This window comes from Homo sapiens, chromosome 10 (genome assembly GCF_000001405.40).
Source record: "Homo sapiens chromosome 10, GRCh38.p14 Primary Assembly".
Taxonomy (NCBI): Eukaryota; Metazoa; Chordata; class Mammalia; order Primates; family Hominidae; genus Homo; species Homo sapiens.
In genome coordinates, this window is record NC_000010.11 from 74890949 (window position 1) to 74914046 (window position 23098).

Below are 23098 nucleotides of genomic sequence, written 5' to 3' on the forward strand. Positions count from 1 at the left end.
TCCAGCATTTGCAAATAACCATTTCTCTTTCAAAGGAAATTCTAGTATGTATTCCCATTCAATAAAAGCAAAGAGCTGAGCTCTATATGAATAAGAGGTAAAATTGAACATGAAAATTACTGAGCAAGATTAGTGGGGGATGAAATGGATGAACATTGGGGAAAGCTGTGATCCTTGTTACCTTTGCTATAGTGCAATTTGGAATGGCTTCTTTATTCCTGGCAATTCCTGACAGCATTTCTTTTAAACCTGGCCACCTTTCCATTGCCAGCTCGACCTTGATGTTAGCTGGTGCTGCTACTGCAAGGGCTGCCTTTGGCAGGAAGCCTTCAGTCAACTTTCTGGGCTCTGGTTTTGGCTCTGCACATGCCTTGCTGAGAAGACCTTAAGAATCTGAAATGTGGAGGGTCATTTTGGGGTAGGGAAATGTGGTGGCAACTCTTGAGTTTTCTGCCACGATGTAACTTAACAGATCCTCTTGTTTTTCCTTAAATGGTACAAGGGTTTGCACCGAAATGGTAATTCATCTGTGTCTGTGATGCTTTAAAAAATAACAGTTTCACTAATGTGTCACAACATGTATTATTTATCATTTTAGTAAATGGATATTTTAACAAGCAACAATTTGCAAATTTAAGCATGGCAGTTAACATGATCTGACATTAAAAAATTAAATAATCTCCTGCCATCTTTGTTATCAGCCTTGCATTAAGGATTTTAGCCCTTCTGGGAGCTTTTATTTTTTTGTTGACTCTGACTGATGATGGCAGATTGTGGTAGTGATCAGAGCTATGCTTTTATAAATTATTTTTTAGTTGGAACAATATTGGCATGTAACGTGGACTGGCAGAATTAACATTGTTTATCATTACCAGTGTTGTTTTGACAGATATTCTCAGTTCTTTAAGGAAGCAGATAGGGAATGTCTGTAATGGACATCTGCTGTCCACTATAGGTTGCCCAATAATGAGTCCTGGTAGGTTCTACCTTCTGCTGTGGAAGCCAGCAGAGTTCAAATGGGCATTTTCTGTTCTTGCCTCCTAGGAACTGCAGGGGTGGACATGCTTCTTAGGCTTAGCCTGTTGACTGCTTCCACCTGGAGTTTGAATCTGAACAGTGTTAGAAAATGCAGGGACAGGCTGAGTGTGGTGGCTCACGCCTGTAATCCCAGCACTTTGGGAGGACAAGGAAGGAGGATCACTTGAGCCCAGGAGTTCGAGACCAGCCTGGGCAAAAAAGCAAGACCCAGTCTCTACACAAAGTAAACAAATTAGCCAGGCATGGTGGTGTGCACCTGTAGTCCCAGCTACTTGGGAGGCTGTGGTGGGAAGATCCTTTGAGCCTAGAAGTTTGGGGTTGCAATGAGCTATATTTGCCCCACTGCACTGCAGCCTGGGGGACAAAGAGAGACCCTGTCTCCTATAAAGGCAGCGACAGTTAGTAGTGGCACTAGAGTTACTAAAATTATCAAGATTTTCTTCCTGGATAGTCCTGGTTGCACACATCAGTGTTACTATAGGTGGACTTAGCCTTTACTTTTGTACATTTCGCACTGATACCTCTAACCACCTTTTGTGCACATAGCAGCTATTATACCCCCCATAGCATAACCAACCTGTGTAAGAGAAGAGTATAAGTCAGTTGCTTGCAAGGAACTCTTAGGGGTAGGGAGCTCTTGCCTGGGGGAGGTGGGGGTTTCTCCTCTTTCTGTCCTCCCCTAGTCATTAGAGAAAGGCCTCAAGAGAATAACTCAGAGATTACGGTTGAATTCAAGAGGGTAGATTGACATCTCATTGAGCTGCACAGAGGTACCAGCCAGGTGCTGCTGTGGGATTAGAATGGACTCCTGAGAAAGCGTTCTTGAGTGAGTGTGGTGTGGCTTTCCTGGAGTTTGGGGATGTCTGTGAATACAGAGGCAAGTATCTTCCTCTCATCTGAAAGCCCCCCATGTGGCTGGAGCTGCCCCTGGGGACAGTGTATGGAGAGAGGACAGCAAAAACGCTTGACATTTCCTGTGGGCCTGGTGGTCTACATGGAGGACAGCTGGCCTGAGTCTTTTTGAAAGACTTGTCCTGCCTGCGAAGGCTGCCTGCCAGGGCTAGGCCCGCAGCAGAAAGAGGTTGTGGGTGAACCACAGAGGCAGGAGCTGAGAGGAGACTGAGAGCTGAGTCAAAGGGCACCCGTTGCCTGCATCAGGCAGCATGGAGGTCCCAGCAAAGGGGTCTCACTAGAGAGAGCTGGCATGTGGACTCCTGCAAATGGTGGAAGATATTTTACAGGCTGCAGGACTGGACCACAGAAAAGTGGGCAGACCTTTCCCTTTCCTCACACTTGCCGCCTTTCATTCCTTGGACCCCTCTCTTTTTCCTCACTGCTGTTCTTAGGGGAAAAGCTTGACATTGGATAAAATGAATTTGGATTTAGACTAAATAGACTTTTTAATAACTGAAAGTTTGGCTTTATTTAAGATAATATTTTCTTTTTAAAACACTGTCTAGAAATCAGTGGGTTTTTTTTTTTGTTTTTTGTTTTTTTTTAAAGACAGAGTTTCGTTCTTGTTGCCTAGGCTGGAGTGTGATGACGCAATCTCAGCTCACTGCAACCTCCATCTCTGGGGTTCAAGCGATTCTCCTGGCTCAGCCTCCCGAGTAGCTGGGATTACAGGCATGCACCACCACGCCCAGCTAATTTTTGTATTTTTAATAGAGATGGGGTTTCACCATATTGGCCAGGCTAGTCTTGAACTCCCGATCTCAGGTGATCTGCCCACCTCAGCCTCCCAAAGTGCTGGGATTATAGGCATGAGCCACCACGCCCAGCCAAAATTAGTGGTTTTAATGTTACTAAATCCTGAAATAGCTTTCCATGATGACAAAATCAATCAACAATCTCAACCCCAGTAGACTGGAGTGGATTTTAGAATTTAGCACACTTTCCCTTATTTATACTCTGCAGGTTTCAAGCATACAACTTGCCAGCAATTACTGTGTTGGCTGAGAAATTTGAAATTTTACTAGCTTGAACACTAAATTTGTTGATGTAACATACAGCTAATAATAAAGGTCACGTCCCCATATTGGCATGAGGGACCCCTTATGAATTAGCCTGAAACTTTGCAGCCTTTAATCATATTTTTCTCTCTTTTTTCCCTTGAGACGGAGTCTCCCTCTGTCGCCCAGGCTGGAGTGCAATGGCACGATCTCGGCTCGCTGCAACTTCGCTTGCCGGGTTCAAGCCATTCTCCTGCCTCAGCCTCCCAAGTAGCTGGAACTATAGGCATGAGCCACCACGCCCAGCTAATTTTCGTACTTTTAGTAGAGACGGGGTTTCACCATGTTCACCAGGCTGGTCTCGAACTCCTGACCTCAAGTGATCCACCCACCTCGGCCTCCCCAAGTGCTAGGATTATAGGCATGAGCCACCGTGCTCGGCCATGTTGTTATTTTTGGTTTGTTTGTTGATTATGGTTTAAAAAAACCACATAACATTAAATTTACCATCTTTGCCATTTTTAAGTGTGTAGTATGGTAGTGTTAACTGTATGCAACAGTTAGTGCAACAGATCTTTAGAGTTTTTTTATCTTGTAAAACCGAAACTCTGTACCCAGGAAGCAATTCCTGATTCCCTGCTTCTGCCAGCCTCTACCAACCACCATTCTACTTTTTGTTGCTAAGAGTTTGATTACTTTCGATAACTCACATCAGTGGAATAATGCAGTATTTGTTTTTTTCTTACTGGTTTATTTCACTTAGCTTAATGTCCTCAAGGTTCATCCATGTTGTAGCATGTGACAAGATTTCCTTCTTTTTAAGGATGAATAATATTCCATTGTATGGATAGACCACATTTGCTTTATCTAGTTGTCTGTTGGTGAACATTTAGGGTACTTCTACCTTTCGGCTCCTGTGAACACTACTGCAGTGAACATGGGTAAGCAAAAATCTCTTTGAGATCCTTTTGGCTATATACCCAGAAGGGGATTGCTGGATCATCATTCTGTTTTTAATTCTTTGAGGAGCCGCCAAACTGTTCTTTATAGCAGCTACGCCATTTTACATTCCCACCAGCAGTGCACAGAGATTACCATTGCTTCATATCCTTATCAACACTTGGTTTTTTTTTTTTTGCCATTTTAATGGGTCTGAGGTGATATTTCATTATGGTTTTGATTTGCATTTCTCTAATGATTAGTGATGTTGAACATCTTTTTATATGCTTCTTGCCCATTTGTATATCTTCTTTGGAGAAATGTCTTTTGAAGTGCTTTGCCCATTTTTTAATTGCATTAGTTTGTTGTTTTTTTGATTTGTAGGAGTTATTTATATATTCCGGGTATTAATGCCTTATCAGATATTTGGTTGAAAATATTTTCTCCCATTCATAAGTTGCCTTTTCACTTTGCCCTTTAATCATATTATTATTATTATTATTATTATGGTTAAAACATTAATTGTGTAATACTGAAAAGTTTAGGAAATAATATGACAGATTTTGATCAGGTCTTAAATATCTTCCCAATAGGCCCTATGAGTAAGGCATAAAAAGCTTGAATTAATTCCATAGTTTCACCAAAACGCTCTTCTTCTTAATCTTATTCCTTATTTTTTTGAGGCAGAGTCTTTCTGGCCCAGGCAGCCTGGAGTGCAGTGGTGCAATCTCAGCTCACTACAACCTTCACTTCCCGGGTTCAAGCGATTCTCGTGCCCCAGCCACCTGCGTAGCTGGGACTACAGGTGTGAGCTACCATGCCTAGCTAATTTTTGTATTTTTAATAAAGATGAAGTTTCACCGTGTTGGCCAGGCTGGTCTCGAACTCTTGGGATTCGAGTGCTGGGATTATAGGCATGAGCCACCATGCCTGGCCCTTAATCTTGTTCCTATCAATCTTTCCAGCTTTACCTTCCCCAGCATGACTTCCTCTTATCCCCTTCCTATGTCCAAAGATTCCCTAAAAATATTCTAGCTCTGTACCATTCCACACACTGCTTTTTTGTTGTTGTTGTTGTTGTTGTTTTTTTTTGCCTGAAATATGGGATATGTACCTTTCCCTCTTGTTTAACCTTGTTTTTCAGACTCCTTCTTTTTCTTTTCCTTTAAAGACTCAGCCCAGATGTGAAAATGTTCCAGTCAGCCAGTCAGCTGCTTTTCTCTCCTATAGCCTCTTAGGTACAGCCCAGGTTAGCACACTTGTCTGAAAGTATTGTGAGGACTTTTATAAACCCCCTCTCTCCAGGACCATATGCTGCTAGATCACCTAGCTTAGCTTTGCCTTTTTATTCCTCTTTGTCATGGGCCTACCATAATATCTAGTCCATAATATTTGTGTACTTTAGTTTTTTATTTATTTATTTATTTTTGAGATGGTGGTCTTACTCCATCACCCAGGCTGGAGTACAGTGGCACGGGATCTCGGCTCACTGCAACCCCCGCCTCCTGGGTTCAAGCTATTCTCCTGCCTTAGCCTCTGAGTAGCCGGGACTACAGGACACGCCACCACGCCCAGCTAATTTTTGTATTTTTAGTAGAGATGGGGTTTCACTATTTTGGCCAGGCTGGTCTCAAACTCCTGACCTCAAGTGATCCACCTGCCTTGGCCTCCCAAAGTGCTGGGATTACAGGCATGAGCCACAACACCCGGCCTATTTGTGTACTTTAAACGATTATGGGTAGAAAGAAAGAGCAAATGCCTTTTTAGAAATAAGATAACAGAACTTTTTACCAATTGTGCTTCCAAATATGCTTTCTCTTCTAATTTTATCTGCTAAGATTTTGGCAGCTAATTGTAGATTTTATGAACTTACATTGGGTTGCCTTTGTCTTCTGTTATAAAAGCAATAATTAGAGGAAATGATCCTTTTGAGAGGTTGTTTAATGAATTCTGCTTGTTTTAAATGTGCTGCTTTAAATCTTATTTCACGTAAACTGTACTAATGCCCAAATTATCTCACCCTAGATCAGCATTGAACCAAAGTATTATGATGATTAATTTCCTTCTGTTAAATCCCTTATAGTCTTTTCTTTGGTGTGTGTGTGGGGTCAACAATCAAAGAAAGAATTTATTGACTTTACATTTAATATGGTTTACTCTACTTGATTATATTGTTCAAGTGTGAATTTGTGTATGGTATAAGATTATGCCATACTGGGATTCTATTTTCTGTTAAACAAATAGCTTTGTGTTTTATTAACTGCCAGTGTTTAAATTTAATGGTTTAAGATTTCAGAGAGCCCTTTTTGTAAGTATTTGAAAGTTTTTATTATAATCCTGAGCCTAACCTTCTTCTGGTTTCACTGCATCCTTCTCCAGCCTTGAAACAAGCCCTGGCACAGACGCAAATCCTGGCGTGCACCACCTCTTCCTCTCCCCCGCTCCCCACTCTAACATGACAAGAAGTGTCTGTCCCAGAAGTAATCTGATTGTGCACCTAGAGTACCTGTTTTCTGCCTGGGGAAGAATGCACACTGCTGGACCTAGAGCGGTGGCAAAAGTGCCCTCTCCACTGTGGGGGCCACAGTGGTAGGCACAACCCTTATCCCTCAGCCCCATTAGTTAATTAAGTCATTTTACCTGCATTAAACTTTACGGGCAGAGAAAATTCAGTAAGTCACCACTACCAGGTGACTTTCTTTTTTATGTTACCCCCTAGCAAGGCATGTAGTTTGCATCCTACAGAATATAAAAGATGGGGCCAGCATCTATTCTGTGTCTTAGCAGTGAACTTCATCCAATAGATACTTGATTTTTAAATACTTTCACCTTGTGTCATGATTAAATCACTAAACAGGAAGTTTCAGCTTTTCTTTAAAGAAGTACATCCTATTAAAAATTTAAATGTCTTCATAACTGCTTACGCTCAGTAAATGAACACTAGGAATCTATAAACAGGAATCTATGGCTCTAAAAATTGAAATTTTGGGGGCTGTTTCATTCTTTAGAACTTGAAAACGCCATAGGCAATTAGCTATAATTCATTTGCAGATTATTTTTGCCATGTTAAATTAGGAATTTTAGCCATAGCAAGCATAACAGACAAGCACACTTTTAAATTATTTTGTTCAGCAAAACACCATAGGCCCTTATATGTGTTTGCTGGAATTTTTCTTTGTCAACAATAAATCTATATGTTTCTTTAGTTAAAAAAAAAACAGCAACAAAGTGTTTATTGTAGAATGTTTACTTTTTAAACAAACGTGAAAGGCATTGGTACAAAAAGGGAAAAGCACCTAGGATTTGGATCCTCAGTGGGTCCAGGAGTACAGCTTCCTTGTTCTGCAGTTACTGGAGGCAGTGTGGTGAGGGGAAGGATGTGGGCTTTGGACTGAGCTGCTGCTTCTACCTGTGCTATGACTTTGCACAAGTTAGGAGTAGCCTTTTTGAGCTTTGTTTTCTCCTTAGAAGATGACTAAGATCATGTTTGCACATAGCACATGACACAAACTCATGATACTGGTTTTGTTTTTTCTAACATTGTCTCAGTGGGTCTTCACTGCCTTCTTTCTACAATTTTTTTTTTTTAAGGGAATAGGGTCTTACTCTGTTGCTCAAGGCTGGAGCGCAGTGGCTGATCATTGCTCACCATAGCCTCAAATTCCTATTCACTGCCCTCTTATATAGTGGATAATGTGGGCGTTAGTCTCATGCAGTTAAGAGAACAGGTTCAAAAGAAGTTTTGAACTGTCTGTTTTATTTTCACAAGGCCAGTCAGTGACAGAGAAAGAACTTCCACTTGGGTGTCCTGGCTCTGTGTCCCATGGTTTTCCTACTGAAATACTATTACTGTGCTATAGCAGAAGAAAGAAGGCTAAGACAGTTCTGTGCTTACAGTCACCTTCAGTTTCAAATGTAATCATATCCTGGGGGAGGGGAAATGAAACTTTGAGTTTCATCTCCCAAATCATTCCTTTATTTAGAATCAACCGGCTGGGCACGGTGGCTCATTCCTGTAATCCTAGCACTCTGGGAGGCTGAGGTGGGTGGATCACTTGAGGTCAGGAGTTCAAAACCAGCCTGGCCAACATGGTGAAACCCCCGTCTGTACTAAAAATACAAAAAAAAAAAAAAATAGCCGAGCATGGTGGCAGGCACCTGTAATCTCAGCTACTTGGGAGGCTGAGGCAAGAAAGTTGCTTGAACCCAAGAGGCGGAGGTTGCAGTGAGCTGAGATTGCGCCACTGCACTCCAGCCTGGGTGACAGAGCAGTACTCCATCTCAAAAAAAAAAAATAGTATCAATGAATTCAAAGAAATAAAATGTTTTTCATGTACTCATGGAAACAACTATTTCTAAAATTCTAAATGAATTATTATTATTATTATTATTATTATTATTATTATTATTATTTGAGACGGAGTTTCTTTCTTGTCAGTCAGGCTAGAATGCAATGGCGCGATCTCGGCTCATGCAACTTCTGCCTCTTGGGTTCAAGGGATTCTCCTGCCTCACCCTCCCCAGTAGCTGGGATTACAGGCGCCTGCCACCATGCCTGGCTAATTTTGTATATTTTTAGTAGAGATGGGGTTTCACCACGTTGGCCAGGCTGGTCTCGAACTCCTGACCTCTGGTGATCCACCCACCTTAGCCTGTCAAAGTGCTGGGATTACAGGCATGAGCCACCGCGCCCGACCTCTAAATGAATTTTTAAAACTCCAGCATCTCACAAATGGTTCTTGAATAATTTTTCCTTAGCCTGCAGTGTTTAAGTTGGGTTTTGAAGGTTTTGTTACTCAATAGTCACCCTTTTTTGGGTGTAAGTTTGTCCTCTACTCCTGAGTAAGTAAGTGACCTTAGGGCAGTATTACCATGAAACAGATCTCACAAATAACATTGATACCAACATCATTATTTTTGGTCAAATGTTAAATAGTTAAAATTTGTCATCCTAGTCTATATTGAACTAATTTGAAATACCTTATATTTAAGCAAACTTTATTGTTTTTAACATAGCAAAACAATTAATAAAACTTTAAATCAATTACACATGAAACAGTAAGAAAGCAGTGCAAGATTAAAATCTCTAGGTAAGTGTTCTATAGTGTATAAGTAAGTTCTGTAGAACTTCAGAAAAAAGAGAGGTCAGTAGGATTCTTAGAGCAAAGTGTGATTTTATCTGTACTTTGGGTCAGAATAACTTTTCTGATTTTTTTTATTACTAACATACCTAAACACAGATAATGTTAACATTAATTAAGTGACCTTAGGGCAGTATCACAATGAAACATCTCACAAGTAACATTGATACTAACACAATTATTTTTAGTCAAATGTTAAATATTTAAAATTTGTCATCCTTGTCTATATTGAACTAATTTAAAATATCTTATTGAAATATATTATTAATTAATTCATATCAGACTTAGCTAGAGACACCTAATGTTCAAAACAGAAAGTAGAGGTGGATTGGGCCCAGTTGGCTCCAGTTGCTCAGAGGATGTGGTCAGTGCTGTTTTTGTACATCTTGAGCTCTGCTCACTCTGTCTGCGAGTAGGTTTTGCGTTTTGCTTGTTGGCTGTCTTGTTGGGGGTGGGAAAATGGCTGCCCATACCTTCTGCCAGGTGGGCAACCCCAAAGACTTTTCTTTTCCAGCGCACGTGTAGGAGCAGCCTGTTGGAGGCATGTGCCCATGCTTTAGACTGTCACCCAGGTCATGAGGACTGTGGTTTGAAGAGTGTGCTCACTCAACTGGCTAGGGGGTGAGGGCACTGTGTTTGACAACTGTCAAGGACTAGCGAGGTTCCCAGATGAAAGGGGGTGATATACCAGAAGAAGAGGCATGGGTGGGAAATGTGCATAGCAGTCCCAGCCAATAGCTATCACTGCCTACCACATAGTGCTACAAAACAGCGTAAGAATTATTCATTGAGTGCAAATGTTGGGGGAGTGGGGGTTAAACAGAGACCTATTCTAAGTGATTCTTGACTGTTTGTCCAGGTGTCATTCCTTGTTATAGGAGTTTTAAAAGCAGAAAATTCTCAACTGCTCATTCACCTAATACTCCATGAAAGTATATATTCTTGAGTGTCCTAAGTGTGTGTCCTTTGAAATGTTTATATATATAAAAGATATTTTAAGTATAAAATCTTAAATATCTTTTACACTTAAAATATCTTTTATATTTTATATTTGTGCTTTTATAAGTTAAAAAATGTGATCACCATGACCCTCTACTTGGATGTGACAACCCTCCATTTTATAAAATAATTACCGTTGAATCAAAATTTTTGCTCAACGTATGCTATCCAGTTACCTGTCAAAGCCAACTGAATGAATGATGAAAAGGTTCAGATCAAAAGCAACTGGCTTAACTTCACGGAGGTTTTCATGCTTTAATTTAAAATGTGTCTATGTCTAACTGATTATCTCTCACATTTTATAAAGAAATATTGACGTTCTGTAAAGTATGTAGTGACCTCACTTCTGGCTGTGTGGGCAGGTTTCACTGCAGGCCTCTGAAGCATTGATATTCCTGTAACCTTTGAGGCAAGATGTGTGTGTAGTGTATTAATGAGCTGATTGAAGTGATGTACAGTAATTTCATCCTTGGGTAAAAACAGATGTGAAAGATTCTGTTTTAATATTTAATCAGCCTCCAAGCCTCTGTTGGCTTGTTTAAGTTGACCTGACAGCATTATACCTGGAAACACTTTGAATTAAACTCTGAGTGCTTGACCTTGTTCAAACAGTTGTAATTTAATAAGGCTGCTGTCTTGGTGGAGATAGTGTCGCTAATAGGCAAATCCTCTTCTGACTGGGATTGTTCTGTTTGTGAGTGCTGGGGTTGGAGAGATTCAGAGATTCTCATCAGTTTGTGGGGAGGAACTGGGATTTGAAGAAGTAAAAACAAATCTAAATTAAGAAAGTGTCTTTTAGAAGATCTTTAAAAACTTTTATTTTAATTTTTAGACATATAGAAGTAATGTTTTTAATGTCATTTTGATTAGGCTCATTTTGGTTGAAAGGAATGGAAAATCATTTGTTAAAAAGAGAGCTGGAAACTTGTCAGAAATCAAAGAAGTGCTAGGAGGACTGCATACTCACTCTGGCTCTCCTTGTCCTCCTGTCCACCCATCCCTCCACCCACCCATCCGTCCCTGCTTTTCTCTGTCTCTGTCTTGGGCGTCCTCTGCACGATAGCCTGTCTGCTCTCTCCTTTCTTCTGTTGGCTCCCTCAATCTCTGTTTCGTGTACTTCTCTCTAGCCCATAGCTCCTCTTTACTAATCATTTCTGTTCTCTCATGCCATCAGTTTGCAGGGGCTCTTGGTAGTTTCAGCTCTCTTGTATCCTTTCAGCTCTAAGTCTTGCTGTCAACAAGTTTGTTTCCTTGTTCACGTTCCAGTTAGCTGGGTCTGAATGGCTCTCCTGATCTTTTTTGTGCCATATCCAAATTGCCCATGCTTTCCAAAGCAGGGGGAGCTGTGGACAAGACAGTTTTTGGCTTGAAGGAAAGATTAGTTGGGGCAAATACCATGATTTGCCCAATATAAATGCGTGTAGATATATATTTTCTGGTTCTAAGAGTACCATATGCTTACTGGGGAAAAATGAGAAAATTTAAAAAACTAATAAAAATACAGTTAAAATCTCCTGTAAACCGACTATTCAAATAGCTAAACTACTTTGGTGTATTTCCTCTGATTTTTTTTGCTTGTTTATACATAAACATAATATACACAGTAAACATCCCAAAATTTTAGAATCATAGTGGTAACATTTTAAAGATCTTCATATCTACTTGTTACCAGTGGCATCTGTAGGAATACTCTGGCTGTCAGGCCTACGTTAAAAACTGTGGTAATTTGGTGTGAATCTTTTATTAATTCTTTCCTTTTGACTAATATTAAGTGTGGCATCATTAATCATGTTATATTATCTTCACTTTGGCTTGCATTACTTATCAACTCCTTTGAGAAGAGTTAATATTATTTTCATATTTCACAGTACTTGACATATTGTCTCATACTTAGTAGATGTTCAGTATTTGGTCTATAGTTTCTGCTTAATTTTTATGAAACTTGATTTCTGTGAGTGGGCAAAATACATTCATAAGGTTCCAGCTCAGAAGAAGGAAAAAGTAACAATGTATAGCACTAAGAATATTGGAAAACAACGGGGAAATATGCTAATTGCTTTTAAACGAACAGGGATTTTGGCAGTATTGTGGTATATGAAGGGTCTCCTGTAGGAAGCTGACTGGCTCTTCTCTTTTAGGAGCCCTCCCAGGGTGGCATTCATTACCTTGTCGGATTGCCATGGTCCAGTGTGGGTAGCAGAATCCTGAGAGACCCCCAGTGACCCTGCCCTTTGTATTATATCTTCCCCTTTGAGTATAGGTGGAACCTATGCATGTTTGAGATATCACCCATGATTCTACTACCTTGCTTGGCAGAGGGAGACTATCCAGGTGGGCTGATCTAATCACACAAGCCCCTTAGAAACCATATTCTCCAGCAGGTGGGAAGAAAGAGTGATCTGAAGCATGAATAGGATTTGATGTTGACTGCGAAGATGAAAGGGACCATGTGCCAAGCAATGTGGGTAGCTTCTAGAAACTGAGCATGGTCCCCAGCTGGCAGCCAGCAAAGAAACAGGGACCTCAGTCCTACAACCGCTAGGAACCGAATTATTCTAACAACCTAAACGAGCTTGGAGGTGAATTTTTCCTAAGAGCTCATGGATAAGAGCAGAGTCTGGCTGACACCTTGATTTTGGCTCTGTGAGACCCTAAGCAGAGAACCCAGCTGAGCCTGACTGGATTTCTGACCCACTCAGCTGTGAGCTCATGAATGGGTGTTGTTTTAAGCCACTGTTTGTGGCAGTAAGACTAATATAGTCCAGGGTCTGGCTAATTCTTAGCTTTGTCAGATTTTAACTTGATTTTCTGTGGATATCAAGGGTGGAGCTGTCTCTCAGGGGTAGACTTACAGGAGCCTAGCTGAAGAAACTGGTGTATGGAATCAGGAGGCCAGCATATTTATTTGTTTATTTACCTGAAAAGTAAATGTTCCAGGGACTGAGATACTCCATGTGGATGGTCAGTACATTATCTCCCTTAAGGCAGACCTGTGTAGGAGGCCAGGTGTGTATTAGTGAGCATGGCATCCAAACCATGAGTTAGATGAGCACAGTTTCCATGGCATCAAACACCTGTCTCACAACAAGGATGGCCTTCTCTATGTCTGGACAATGTTTAGATGGGTACTGCCAGCTTCTCTGGAGACTCACTGTATTAGTTTTCAATTACAGTGTAACACATAACCACAAGTTAGCAGCTTAAAACAATGAAAGTATATTATCTCACAGTTTCTATGAGTCCAGGCACAGGTAACTGGGTCCCCTGCTCAAGGACTCACCAGGCTGAAATCAAAATGTCAGCAGGGATGTGGTCTCATAAGCTCACTGGTTGTTGGTGGAATTCAGTGCCTTATGGTTGTAAGACTGAGGTCCTCTTCTCCCAGAGGCTGCCCTGCCACATGGCCCTCTCTACAATGTAGCATTTTGCTTCTTCAAGGTCAGCTGGAAAATCTCCCACACACTTTTGGTCTTTACAATCTCTGACCCCCTTTAAAAGCCTAGCCCTGTGTATGCTCATAGGGAGAGATTGTACAGGGGCCCAAATCTTGAGGGCATTGTAAAATTCTGCTCCCACACTTGCTTTCCCCTCAGCATCCCTTGATGACTGGCCAGCTTTCTGTTTGACACCTCCTTTCTTTAGCTGTGTTAATATATCCAGTCTTTGGGAGTCCAGGCTTGGTTGGATATTTCACATCTCTGAAGTGACTACATAGTTCTTCTCACATTCAGTATGTATTGATTTTTAAAATTTAAATTTGTGAACTTAATCACACCTTTATTTCTGTGATCCTCCCCCCTTTAGTAACTGGGGAATGGGATGAGGAGGAATTTCTTCATCTTAGTTTCAGAAGTCTTCACAGCAGTGGCCTCTATTTGTAGTTTGATGGTCTAAGGAGTTTAGATTGTTAGAGAACTTCTACCTTCACTAGAATTTTGAAGACGTAACTTAAAATTACACTTACTAGATGTAGAAACTGGGGAGACAAAATGAGTTATTTGCACAGTTAAATTATTAGCTAGTGAAGAAGGGTTTTTATTTCTTATTTATATCCTGCCTTCTCTCAATATGATGATGTCCAGTAAAAGGCATAGATAGTCTAAAAGTGAAGCAATTAAAAATTTTTCTATTATGGGAATTTGACAGTACAAAAAAACACAGATGTCCTTGCCCATTAAAGTGAACACCAAGGAGTCCAAAATATTTTCATGAGGTAGTTTTTTGCCATTGCCTGTCAGTTGTGAGAGATCATTGCCTCAGGCCACAGCGACTAGGTGTGTGGCAGAGTTAACCTGCCTGCTCTCTAGGGAAACCGTCAAGAAATGGGCAATAAATTAATAAGTAGAAAGTGTTCTCTGAGCTCCAGGCAGTTGTTGATTGACTGATGGAAAAGGTAGGCGGTAGGCTAATAGACGATGACATCCAAATTCAGCTGTTGCCTCTCAGCTGAACCCAACCCTGGGCTTCTGCTGCCTTTTGCTCCTTTTCCCTGAGTGGTGGTGGCCTGCAGGTTAAACAGGTGGGCTTGGGAATTGGGCTGCCTAGGGTAAATCCTCATTCCCCCATTTAACTCAGTCTGCCAGACTCTGTTTTCTTGTCTGTAAAATGAGGGTTAAAAGAGAGTCTCTGTAAAGCATTTAATACGTTGTTGGGCACTAGCGGTGGATTAAGGAGAAGAGGGCTGTGATGGGAGCTGTCAGCCCCAGCAGGCAGGAGTTAGAATTGTCTGGAATTGCCGGTGTAGGGTGATAATAAAAAGCAAACTGACTCTTGGTCGGTTTATTACTATTTTTAAATTCCCTACTGACAAGGCCCTCCCTATTGCCTGCACTCTGAGTGGACCACTCCTTCCATCCATGCCTTGCAATGCCACTGTCTTGCACATAAGGGCTCAAAAGTGTATGCTGTTGTTGCCCTTCTCACATTTCGGCTGAGGTGTATATTTTCATTAAAGAGGATTATGTAGAAAAATTGGTTTAATAAAAATGATGAGACTTTTTAATATGGTTTGTACACCATTAAGAGTGAAATATGGCAAAATCTGGTCTGAAAAATAGGAAAAAATATAGCAATAACTGATTAATAGAAAACCATAGGATTGGCTGGGCACAGTATCTCACACCTGAAATCCCAGCACTTTGGGAGGCCGAGGCAGGTGGATCACCTGAGGTCAGGAGTTCGAGACCAGCCTGACCAACATGGTAAAACCCCGTCTCCACTAAAAATACAAAAACTAGCTGGACGTGGTGGTGCACTCCTGTAATCCCAGCTACTCAGGAGGCTGAGGCAGGATAATTGCTTGAACTCAGGAGGCAAAGGTTGTGGTGAGCCAAGATCGTGCCACTGCACTCCAGCCTGGGTGATAGGGACTCCACCTCAAAAAAAAAATCTTTTTTTTCCCTTTTTATATTTTTGTCTGGATCCTAAATATTGGGACATTTGAAAGATGTGCATATTTAGTTTAAGCAAATTCTGGTGGATTTGGTTGGTTCTCTCTGTAGTAAGAGTAGAGAAGAATGGTAGATGTGAAAAGAATATATTCTGAAAAGAATATGGGATAAGAGAAAATCAAGAAGGCAAGAAAATAATCATTTCCACCCTTTTATCTACTTTGAAATCACCACTTTTCTTACTTTGGTCTTCTGTTTCCTCTATAAACTATGCTTAAGAGACCAGAGTGAGCAGACTTCTTCGTGAAAACCTGAGCTTGGGAGTTGGGATGGTTTACAGTCTTGGCTTCAGTCCACTTTTCTGACTTAACACCCAGACCCCTTTCCGGCTAAATTTATTGTCTCCTGTTCCTGCTGGGCCTTTCTGGAGCGTCCGCCTCTGGAGTGCCCTCTGCTCTTGAGGTCCCAAACTGCCCATCCCACACCTACCTGGTCACAGCTTTGCAGTTTAAGTCCCCACATGCCAGTGACTGCTTCCTTTCTGGACCCCTTTACTGCATTTCAGCAGTGCTGTCAATCCTTCCTTTAAATTTATGTCACTGGTTTGTAGGGCTCATTCTTCCAGCCTGCAGACGTCAGTTGAGATTCCACTGTGATCAAAGCAGGATATTTAAGTTCTGCAGCGGGTGGGCTGCAAGTGGTAGAAATAGTTATTTTCTTGCCTTCCTGAATTTCTCTTGTTCCATTCTCTTTTCAGGATACATTCCTTTCACTACAGAGAGTTGTCTGCTCTCACTACAAACAGAACCAGCCAAACCCACCACGATTTGCTTAGACATAATGGGCAAGAACTTTCAGAACATTTGGAACTTTTCAGAACATTGGGTGGTCTTAGAGACTAGCCAGTACAGAAATCTCTTGAGAGGGTGTTACTGTGTTCCTTCTGGACACCTCCAGTTTCTGATTTGGCTGTCCTGTTTGTCAGCAGTACATCCTTCATATTGAGCCCAAAACCTCCATTCATTCTGGTGTTCTTCAGTGCAGTCACACTGCTTCGTGATGGCTTTTCTTCAGTGCAGTCATTTGCTTCATGTGACTTTTCTTTTTTCTTTTTCTTTTTCTTTTTCTTTTTTTCTGAGGCAGAGTTTCACTGTTGTTGCCCAGGCTGGAGTGCAATGGCATGGTCTCGGCTCACTGCAACCTCCTCTGCCTCCTGGGTTCAAGCAATTCTCCTACCTCAGCTTCCCAAGTAGCTGGGATTACAAGTGCCCACCACTATGCCCGCCTAATTTTTGTATTTTTAGTAGAGACAGGGTTTCACAATGTTGGCCAGGCTGGTCTCAAACTCTTGACCTCAGGTGATGCATCTGTCTTGGCCTCCCAAAGTGCTGGGATTACAGGCGTGAGCCACTGCACCCAGCCATGATGGCTTTTCCAATGCAAAACATTGCAATAGTTATTCCTTTGAACCTTATAAAATTACTGATTGTTATGTTTTGAATATTTGTCCCCTCCAAAACTTACATTGAAATGTAATCCCCAATGTGGCAGTATTGAGAGGTGGAGTCTTTAAGAGGTGATTGGATCACCAGGGCTTTGCCTTCATGAATGGACTAATCCATTCATGGATTACTAGATTAATGAGTTAATTCATGAATTAATGGACTGATGGGTTATCATGGGAGTGGACCTGGTGGCTTTATAAGAAGAGTATGAGAGACCTGAACCAGCACATTCAGCTTCTTGCCATGTGATGCCCTGCACTACCATGAGATTCTGCAGATTCTTCCCCACCAGTGGGAAGGTCCCACCAGATGTGAGGCCCCTCGAACTTGGACTTCTCAGTCTTCATAACTATAAGAAATAAGTTCCTGGCCAGGCACAGTGGCTCATGCCTGTAATCGCGGCACTTTGGGAGGCCGAGGCGGGCAGATCACGAGGTCAAGAGATTGAAACCATCCTGGCCAAAGTGGTGAAACTCCATCTCTACTGAAAATGCAAAAATTAGCTGGGCATGGTGCTGCGTGCCTGTAGTCCCAGCTACTCGGGAGGCTGATGCAGAATCGCTTGAACCTGGGAGGCGGAGGTTGCAGTGAGCCGAAATTGCACTCCAGCCTGGGCAACAGAGCCAGACCCCGTCTCAAAAAAAAAAAAAAAAAAGAAAGAGAAATAAACTCCTTTTCTTTATAAGTTGCCTAGTTTCAGGCATTCTGTTATAAGCAATAGAAAATGAACTAAGACACTGATATTCAATTGTTTTAGCCTATAAAAATGGGAATTTTATGTGGGTCAACCTAGTATATTCCCCCTGATTCTCTGCTTTTCCAGCTCATATACTTTTGTAGTTTAGATAACCTCCTGTCAGTTAAATCATGATATAAGTTCTTCGTTCCTTTTTTTTCCTTTATAGTTTAAAAATTATTTTATGTGTATCTTTCCTCTGGTAGCCCCCTGAGACTTGCTTACTGCAAGCCCACATGCTGCCTTGACTCCTTTTCCCTGAATCAACTGTGAATTGTTCCGCAGCTTCTCTCCTTTTTGGTCTCTGAACCAAGGTTTCTTAATTAGAGTATCCACAAGTCTATATGTGAAGAGGTTGAGGGAAAAGTAACCACTGGGGACATGAGAAATCTGAAAAGTAATAGTTAGAAATGGCCATCTTAGCCTTATTAAAATGTAAGTAAGGCCGTGTATGGTGGCTCACACCTGTAATCCCAGCACGAGAGGCCAAGGTGGGCAGATCACCTTAGGTCAGGAGTTCGAGACTAGCCTTGCCACAATGGCGAAACCCCATCTCTACTAAAAATACAAAAATTAGCTGGGCGTGGTGGCATTTGCCTGTAATCCCAGCTACTTGGGAGGCTGAGGCAGGAGACTCGCTTGAACCTGGGAGGTGAAGGTTGCAGTGAGCTGAGATCGCATCATTGTACTCCAGCCTGGGAGACAGAGCAAGACAACATCTCTAAATAAATAAATAAATATAATGTAAGGCAAGGCCTTTTCCCTTATATCTATTTTAGGGTTTACCCTTGTGTATACAGAAAAATTGTTCCCTGTCCAGCTTATTATGGGCTGGATAGCAGGCAGAACTCCTCAGTTTGGGTTAGCATTGCATTAACAGAACTGCCACATCTTTCTGGATAATCTTCCTTTGTGCATAAGCTCCAGGCTCACCTTCTCTGCCTCACAGCTGTGCGCTGGTTTCCCTTAGCTTTCTTGGGTTCTGGATGGATACTGGCCTTCTGGGTGAGAAGGGGGTTCTTTGGCAAAAGGTGTTTTTGACATAATTTAGGACCTTCTTAAGTTCTACAGCAGACCTAAATTTCTTCCCCCAAGTTCTTTGTCTATATAGAGTACTCAGCACTCATTACCCATTCTCAGTTCTGAAGGAAATCTTATGGAGCAGTTGTAGTATTTATAGGGTAAGCAGAGTGCCCAGTTTCCATGCCCCACCCCAAACCATTTAGATTTCAGTCATGTATGTCAAGGGAGGAGTGAGTACATTTTTGTGGTCAGCTGCCTCTTCTTTTCCCTAACATTCTCACTTTTTCATCTTTCCTGCTTTCTTGAGGTCATTTATCTATTGAATAGGATGTCTATTGAAAGGAAAAACCTCCCCTAATCGCCTTTAAACTAATATTTCTTACTGGGCATGGTGGATCACCTGAGGTTGACAGTTTGAGACCAGCCTGGCCAACATGGAGAAGCCCCATCTCTACTAAAAAAAAAAAAAAAAAAATATTAGCCAGGCGTGGTGGCGCATGCCTGTAATCCCAGCTATTTGGGAGGCTAAGGCAGGAGAGTCGCTTGAACCCAGGAGGCGGAGGTTGCGGTGAGCCAAGATCGTGCCATTGCCCTCCAGCCTGGGCAACAAGAGCGAAACTCCATCTCAAAAAATAACTAAACTAATATTTCTCTTTTCTCAATAATAATGGCATGAAAAGAATTTTTTCTGTGCCTTTTCAAAATCCCAATACCCCCTCGTGGCATTTCCTATGTTGAAGTTTTCAACAGCCTTATCAGGAGGAGAAATGAGCTTAATTTTTGAGTTTTAGTGCTTAGGGACTCTGTCTTGGCTTCTAGAGATAACTTCACTGTGGGCACCCACAAATAATATGTTTAATTTTTTTTCTAAACCTTTTGCTGATGGTCATTGCAATATTTTCTTGATTTTAATTTCCTGAGTTTTCTTCTTTCACATTTTTTCTTTTTTTTTTGGTGATATTTTTCCATATTCCATTATCTGCATCCTTCTCACTCTCCCTGATTTTTCAAACATCATGGACTACAGATCTGCAACCTCCCTGGTAATTCCTCTTGGGTTTGAGAGGAAGTTTGTCAAGTACTGGAAACTTGAACTTGTATAAAACAGATGTCACCACTCATTTTAATGGAAGAAGGCATGGAGTAAATACAGATAGCACATAACAGCTATATGCATTCTCTTAAATTTCTTTCCCGATCTTGGGCTTGAGGTATTTTTATCTAATCTAGTCTACCCTTGCCATTTTCAAGATCTTTTTCTTTGATACTTGATAGAGAAGTGTCTTCTGTATTTTTCTTCCTTCTTGGAAGAATATATTTTAAAAAATGTATTTTGAGATTGAGTATTTTGTGAAACATCTTTCCTCTAAAATCCTCAAAGTAACTTTGCCTCTCTTTGATTTCTATGGGTAGTCCAGCGGAGAGTGATACACATAAGGATATTTCATAAACACTGCTTGCATTCCTCTGGGATTTGTGCTCCTAGATGACAGCATATATATGCATGTGATTCTGTGTGTGTAAACATGCTTTAAAAAATTTATTGAACATAGTTTTCAGCTGTCTTCACTCACTTTAAACCTTAGTCTACTTTCTTTTTCTTTTTTTTTTTTTTTTGAGACTAAGTATTGCTCTGTAGCCCAGGCTGGAGTGCAGTGGCGCAGTCTCAACTCACTGCAACCTCCTCCAGGTTCAAACGATTCTCCTGCCTCAGCTTCCTGAGTAGCTGGGATTATAGTTGCCCACCACCATGCCTGGCTAATTTTTTGTATTTTTAGTAGAGACAGGGTTTCACCATGTTGGCCAGGCTGGTCTCAAACTCCTGACCTCAAGTGATCCGCCTGCTTCAGCCTCCCAAAGTGCTGGGATTACAGGTGTGAGCCACTGTGCCCAGCCTTTAGTCTACTTTCTGTTTTTACAATTCCATGCCATGTTTATTGAAAGCATGTTGTTGGTTTCTTTTGATGCCTCCCCTGTCTTTCTTCTCATCATGATTTTAAAAATTAATACTTTGTAATATTTGAGATTTTTATATCTATGTCAAGTTAACTTTTCCTGAAAAATATTTTGATACATTTTCTAGAATGTTAGTGTATTGTGTTTATAACATGGGGGAAAATGTACTGTTTCATTTTTAAATTTATTTTTATTTATTTTTGTTATTATTATTTTTTAAGAAACAGGGTCTTGCTCTGTTGCTCAGGCTGGAGAGCAGTGGCATGATCCTGGACTCAAACAATCTTCCCACCTCAGCTTTCTGAGTAGCTAGGACTACATGCGTATGCCACCATGCCCACCTAATTTTTAATTTTTTTGTAGAGACAGAGTTTTACTATATTGTCCAGACTGGTTTTGACCTCCTGGGCTCAAGGGATCTTCCCACCTTGGCCTCCTAAAGTGTTAGGATTATAGGTGTGAGTTATCACAGCCAGGTGCAATAAGTGTTTATGATTAATTTAAAAGCAGATGCTGTGCTTTTCAAAAATTATGCTCAATTTTTTTTTTAATATTACAAAGGACTTTTAGACTGGCTTCCTCCTAAACATTTCTTCAACTCCTATCAAGTTCAGTCTGCAAATATCCTAATTTCTAGGTTGTTTGGGAATGTTAATTGATTGTCTCATGTATGTATGTATGTATGTATGTATGGATAGACAGATAGATGAAGGTTGAAGGATGGATGGATAGATTAAATGGATGGATGGATAGATAGATAGATAGATAGATAGATAGATAGATAGAAAGATAGATGAAGGTTGAAGGGTAGGGCTGGAGGAGGAATTCCAGCTTTCCAGTAGATTTTCTATCAAGCAGTCATTCATATATATAACTTCCTATATTGTTAGCCAAAGTTCATCCATGTCTCTTGTATTTAGCTCTCTGTCTGTATTGTAGAAAGCTTATTTATTATGTGAGCATTTTGCTTTCTCCTATCCCTCCCTCTTTCTTTAACATCAGTTATAACAGCTGTGAATACAGTTTATAATATGAGCAGCCATATTCAGTTTTTAGGCTTTCAAAATCACAAATACAAAGGAGGATATAATACATAGTCCTATATTTTATACAAATTGGGACACTTTTCTTCATTTCTTATTTCGTGGCATTGCCTAACTATAGTCAAGCTAATGACCCATGTAGATGTAGTGTTGTACCTGGTGTCCGTGTCCCTGTGAATGTGTCATGTTGTGCTGGCCTGATTCCCCAACATCAGCCCCAGGGAGCCAGCAGCTGGAGCAGCTGTCATCTTGTGAAAGCAGAGTGTCCTTGTTGCTATTGATTGGGTTGTTCAGTCAATTGCAAAAAAGTGGATCTAACTGTCAATGGTAGTTATATGATAATCCTGGAGATAAATAAGTGTCAAGTGAAGTATTACTTGAATTTAGGACTTGAAGAGAGAGAAAGGGGTATGAGTAGTTGGAGGGGAAGATTTGCTATGACAAGCTATTATTCAGTGTGGTTATTTTGTATGACAGGTAAGTCTACAGGTATCTTTTGTTAGATAAATCAGAAATTAAGCATTCCCTTTGTAAACTCCAAACAAGATTTTGAAACACCATGGTCCCCCCTTATCCACCTCCAAGATCTCCAGTGGATGTCTGAAACCACTGATAGTACTGAAGTCTCTATATATTATGTTTTTCCCCTGTATGTAATACATACCTGTGATAAAGTTTAATTTATAAATTAGGCACAGGAAGAAATTAACAAAAATAAGTAAGAATAGAACAGTTATAACTATATGTTCTATTAAAAGTTATGTGAATTTGTTTTCTCTCTCTCTCAAAATATCCTGTTGTGCTGTGTGTTCACCCATTTTTGAGCTGCCGTTGACTGTGGATAACAAACCACAGAAAGTGAAACTTCACATAAAGGGGGACTACTGTATTCTCATAATGTTAATTGCTTCTAGAATTCACAAGGATTGAATTCAACTTGAATCTTGCTAAAGAAGTACTTTATTATTCGATGTTAGTCCAGCAACAACTTATAGTGTAGAAATTTGCCCTTTTGAGGGTGAATACACAAAGGGGAAAGAAAACTTGTGTGCCCACGGTCCACTAACAGATAAGCTTCTGGAGGCCAGGAGTAAACCGCCCTGCAGGGGAGCCATCTCCCAGGGTTTCCCCAGCAGAGAGCTGTGCCCAGTGCCGGGGTCTCATGCTTACCTATTTCTCTGTGCCAGTATAGTAGACCTGTTTTCAAGCCTAGCATGAGCCTTAAGTATTACTGGCTGGGAGTGGTGGCTCATGCCTGTAATCCTAGCACTTTGGGAGGGTGAGGCAGGCGGATTGCCTGAGCTCAGGAGTTTGAGACCAGCCTGGGCAACATGGTGAAACCCTGTCTCTACTAAAATACAAAAAATTAGCCGGGC

At 41.0% G+C, this 23098-nt stretch overlaps 1 protein-coding gene across 35 annotated transcripts in view, besides 1 other annotated feature; it reads left to right on the forward strand.

Moving 5' to 3' along the window:
• The window catches only part of KAT6B (lysine acetyltransferase 6B), a 207689-nt gene that overhangs the window by 66013 nt on the left and 118578 nt on the right, over positions 1-23098 (forward strand). The window lies entirely within an intron of this gene.
• Positions 16369-16569: a silencer, noted in NCBI's record as "peak1019 fragment used in MPRA reporter construct". NCBI's record gives its function as "represses an SCP1 promoter by STARR-seq MPRAs in K562 erythroleukemia cells {active_cell/tissue: K562}" and the evidence as "EXISTENCE:reporter gene assay evidence [ECO:0000049][PMID:32103011]".